At 45.9% G+C, this 5,419-nt stretch overlaps 1 annotated feature.

The window, feature by feature from the left end:
* Positions 557-1,341: an enhancer, noted in NCBI's record as "H3K27ac-H3K4me1 hESC enhancer chr16:22692364-22693148 (GRCh37/hg19 assembly coordinates)". NCBI's record gives its function as "activates a minimal SCP1, AML or CMV promoter by ChIP-STARR-seq in primed H9 embryonic stem cells {active_cell/tissue: H9 hESC(primed)}" and the evidence as "EXISTENCE:reporter gene assay evidence [ECO:0000049][PMID:30033119]".

Here is a 5,419-nt window from a genome sequence, read left to right as displayed (position 1 = left end):
CAAAGGGTACATGGCTAGAAAATGGCAAAGCCAGAATTCAGACCTGGGCAATCTGGCTCCAGAATCTGTGCTCTTAACCACCCTATCTATGGCTTCTCTTGCAAGACTGCTGTGTCTTTGTCCAGACTGTAGCCCATAGGTTTCCTTTGTGCTCCTCTCAGTATGTGCATTAACTGCATTTGACAGTGAGTCACAGCAAGGCTGTAGTGCAGTTTCTTTCCAGGACCTTGGGAAAGAGTTTAAGGCATCCACTTGCACCCTCAGCAAAACGTCTGGGGCCTTGTGACTGGGCTGCGGAGGATGACACCTAGCTGTGTTCCTGATCTGGCCGCCTAGGCCTTGCCCTCGAGGCCTGGCTGAGCCTGCGTTCAACCACACATCCATTATGGAAAGGAGGGTCCCTTAATGTAGCGCAAATTATAGCTGGAACACAAGCAAATTGCCGGCTTTTACTAGCACATAAACTGAGCGGAACCTTTGAGATAGATCCGCATTACCCTAAACGGCATCCATAATTCATACCTGCAGCAGAAATGCTTCCCTCTCCCCAGGCTGGAGCCAATCTATTATTGATGGGCCCCTTAGAAGGCCACAACAGAGTGTTTCTCATTCTCCAGCCATCTGCCGGCGTGGTCAATTCCTCAGGCGGCGGCAGCACATTTATTCATCAGAATCAACTCCCAATTAGTTTCCTAGCAGGACCCAGGGGGGTTTTATCTGAGGAATCAAAGTGAGTGTTTCTAGAACAGTACCCCCAGTCCCACCCCTGGGACGCTAATCAATACATACAGAACCAGCCAGCAGCAGGCGAGCATTCGTTTTCACTCAGAAATGCTGCTGCCTTTGTAAATCATGGAGAGTAAAACTAAAAAGCAATGCCCCTTCCTCTCCACCAAGAGTCGGATGGCCAGGAGTTTCTTGCTGTCTATGAAGAAGTAAGTCACTGGATCGTCAGAGCACAGGATTTTTTTTTTTTTTTTTTGAAACAGAGTCTTCCTCTGTCGCCCAGGCTGGAGTGCAGTGGCACGGTCTCAGCTTGCTGCAGCCTCCGACTCCCGGGTTCAAGCAATTCTCCTGCCTCAGCCTCCCGAGTAGCTGGGATTACAGGCATGCACCACCACCCCCTGCAATTTTGTATTTTTAGTAGAAATGGGGTTTCACCATGTTGGCCAGGTTGGTCTCGAACTCCTGACCTCAAGAGATCCACCCGCCTCAGCCTCCCAAAGTGCTGGGACTACAGGCGTGAGCCACCTGGCCAGAGCACAGGATTTAAATGACTGCCAAGAGCAGAAGTTTCCCACCCCACCTGGGTGGTAGAAAGGAAAGTAGCAATTCTATTCACAGCTTTTTATGAAAGATCTAATAACAACCCTGTGAGACGGGTATTTATTATTCTCTCCATTTTGCAGATGGAGAAACTGAGGTTAAGTAACTCACCCAAGGTCACACAGCTAGTAGATCGCAGTGACAAGACTTGAGCGCAGAAAACCTGATTCCAAAGTCCACGGGCTTAACCACTACTCCATGCTGCCATCTGCAGGAAGAGGAAAGGGAACCGACAAGCTATTTCCAGGGCGTCACAAACACCTAATGAAATGTGGACATTTCGCTACAAAAGACAGCTGGCTCACAAAGACCCAACCAACTAGTTAAATAAAGGGAAAGCACTGTTTTTTGTGTTATTTCTATTTTATGTTGTGATGTATTGCTTTATTGAATGATTAATGTTTAAATGACCACATGCATTAATGGCTATTAATAAATATAGCTGGTTTTAAAAAGCTGCATCTTTTTTGAGTGAGTATTTGGTGGGGAGGGAGGCAGAGGATGGATCATGAAAGGGGTACAGGAGTACTCAGCATTTGAAAGGCCATCAGGGTTTAGAGCTGAAAGGAAACATTCATCACTCACATCTGAGAAACACCTTCCCAGGTGTCAGGCTTTGTGTCTGACCCTGGGGATACAAGAATTGATAAGATGAGAGACATGTGAAAAATTAACTATGAGTTAAGGCAGAATAGCACAGGGGATATACACCAAGGCTTCCCTCAACCATGCCTTCTCTTTCCCCATCCCAGAGGAGACTGAGCCATAGTAAAGCAAATCACACCACACTGTGAACTGGTGCAGCTCTACATACAAACTCTTCAACCTCTGCAGAGCTCTCATGCTGCTATGCCATCCTTTCAAGTGCACCTGGTCAGCTCCCCCTTCCATATCTTCAAGGTGAGTTCTTAAGACCCCACATCTTCTTTCTCCTATAAAGCTGTGGCCAACAGTAGGAAGAGCTTAAAGCTTCCACCGCTCCACCAGCAAACTTCTCTGCCTCTACGTCTTCCATTCTTTGTGTCTTATCTTCATCCTTCCTCACTGTGGGGAAAACCTCAGAGATGATCCAGTTGGTCTGAGCTCCATGAAGGGCCCAAGGCCATGGAGCTACCAATGAATAGAAACCAAGATGGCATGGAGAGCTGAGAGTGGAATAGGAAAGGAGAGGATGTGGAGCTAAGGAGGAGGTTTGAATAACAAAGGAACATCAACTAGGAGGTCCAAATGGTTGCCCCAGTGATGAGGCAGCCCAGTTTATGGAATCAGGAATGGAAAAGACAGGTGAGCAGTACAGTGGGTCAGGTAGGCAAGTGGATGGCCTGAGATGGGGCTGAAGTATAATAGAGTGGTTATAAGAAGGGTGCTCAGTATCCACAAGGTACCAGTTCAAACCCAGGCTCTGCCATTTATTTGTTGAGGGACTTTGGGAACGTCTTTCAACCCCACCACCCCCAGCCTCAGTGGATGCATGTAAACTGGAGATGATAGCACCTGACTCATAGACCTCAGAGGGTGGAGGGGAAATTAGGTAAGGAATGAATTAAACAGCTGCCACATAGTGCAGAAATCAATGGTGGTTGCTGCCCTTTGAGGACAAATACCTAAGGCAAAGATGTTACCTCAAGTTGGCATTTAGACAAAACCTCAATCAAAATGTTTGTGCTGAGAGCCAGCCAGAGAGTGGACATATACATTCTGCAGGGATGGAGTCGGACTTTATCAGGTTTATAATGAGAACGACCTTGACCCAGTCTTGTTTCTAATACAGGAGGCAGATTCCTCCAGTAGGGTGATTTTACATTCCAATTCTCCTGGACAGTCCCATGCCTGAACTAAATCTATTCATACCTATTCAGTATTTTTAGTGCTTTCTTTTGCTCCCCCAAAGTGTCCCACTTACGATGATAAATTACATGGCTACCCTCCCAAAACATTTATCTAACCTAGAGTGATGGTTACCAGAGGCTGGGAAGGGAAGGATGATGGGGAATAGGGGGAGGGGAGGATGGTTAATGTCTACAAAAAATAGAAAGAATGAGTAACATCTAGTGTTTGATAGCACAATAGATTGACTACAGCCAATAATAATCTAACTATACATTTTAAAATACTAAAAGAGTATAACTGGATTGTTTGTAACACAAAGGATAGATACTTGAGGTGATACATACCCCATTTACCCTGATGTGATTATTACACATTGTATGTCTGTGTCAAAATATCTTATGTACCCCATAAATATATACATCTCCTATGTACCCACAAAAGTGAAAGTTGTAAAATAAAACAATCTAAAAAATTATCTAGCCTAGATCCTTAGCAGCATTCCACTGGCAGAGACCATTAGCTGCCACTAATTTCTTCTCCTCTGCCTACCTTAGAAATAAACACTCATTTTTAGTTGATGAGCAGATTCCCTTGCTACTGGGTATTATGTGACTAAGTTCTGGCTAACAACATGTAACTAGGGTTATGTGTGACTTCGGAGAAAGACAGCACCTTCTTTGATCCTTCCTCCCTACTGCTGGCTGGAATGCAGATGTGATGGCTTCATGTGAGCTGCCATCTTGGATCATGAGGTAGCAGTCGTCTGCTGAGAATCACAGAGCATCAAGGTAAAAGGGGCATAACACCAGCTCTAAACTGCATACCTCTGGACTTCTTTTTTAGAGGAGACAAAATTCCACCTTGCATAAACTACTTTTATTTGGGGTTTCTGTCACAGACAAACATGATCCTAATGGATATACTCAGGGGCTAAACAAGGACTCGCAAATTCTCTGTCTCAAGTTACTGGAGATGGATGCTGGGCTGACGTGGGAAAGGTTATAGTGGCTGTGCGGTGGTTAGGAGCTTATGCTCAAGTCAAGCAGACCTGAGTTCCTAATTCTACCTTTTAATAGCTACATGAACTCGGGCAAGTTTCTTAACCTCTGTGAGCCTCCCTTTTCTTATCAGTAACATGTGGGTAATGTTCTAGCAATTATGTTCTAGTTTAGTGTGAAGATTTAATGATATAATATATACGATGTTCTCAGCATAATGCCTGGTACACTGTAAGCCCCCTGTAAATGGCAGTTCTTACCATTGCTGTTATCACTACTGTTCTTGATTATTGTTATTACTGTTGCCTAGGTTCCCCTGGAAACAGCCCCTCTTTATTTTGATATATGACTGCATCAGGGCCAGGAAGCTGGGCTTGGAATCACCTACGAATTTCTCTTGTATGGGAGCAGCAGACATGTCCATGGCCAACTTCTGTCCTCAAGGCATCCCCTGACCTGCAGGAGCTGTCAGCAAGAGGCACATATGCAATTTCACAACCAGGACCTCATGCACTGCTCCCAGATATGTGACAGGAGGGACGCCCAGGAACCAAGTGTTCCGAGTATGAACCCTGAGCAGCCTGGAAAAGACCACGTCTAGGGGAAGGACATTCATCCCAGATTCCGCGGGTCAGGTAGGACATTCATCCCAGATTCCATGAGTCAGGTGAGGCATTTATCCCAGATTCCACAGGTAGGTCAGATGTTTATCCCAGATTCCATGGGTCAGGTGGGACATTTATCCCAGATTCCGTGCGTAGGTTAGATATTTATCTCAGATTCTGTGGGTCAAGTGGGACATTCAACCCAGATTCCGAGAGTCAAATGGGACATTTATCCCAGATTCTGCAGGTCAGGTAGCACATTCATCCCAGATTCCATGGATCAGGTGGGACATTTATCCCAGATTCTGTGCATCAGGTGGGACATTCATCCCAGATTCTGCAGGTCAGGTGGGACTGAGACCCACAGAATGTATCTTGCCTGTAGCTATGGATACCCTAAGTCAATGGTTTCCAAATGCTGGTGGGAATCAGAATCACCCAGGGAAGCCAGGAGGAATGCCAAGGCCTGGGCCCTTTCCTCCTTCAAGGAGCCTGAGCCACTGCACTTATTATTAGCACTCTTGGTGACTGCCCACAAAGTTTGAGAACCACTGTCTCCAACTCAGGGAACATCCTGAAACAGGGTAGGGGGAGAGAGAAGCTGAGATTTGTAAACCAAAGAAAACATCTCACTGGGCCACCAGAACTGTATTGCCCCCT

The sequence above is a fragment of the Homo sapiens genome, chromosome 16, assembly GCF_000001405.40.
Source record: "Homo sapiens chromosome 16, GRCh38.p14 Primary Assembly".
In the NCBI taxonomy this organism is placed as follows: Eukaryota; Metazoa; Chordata; class Mammalia; order Primates; family Hominidae; genus Homo; species Homo sapiens.
Note: the sequence above shows the minus strand (reverse complement) of the source record. Positions and strands in the feature narration are given on the sequence as shown.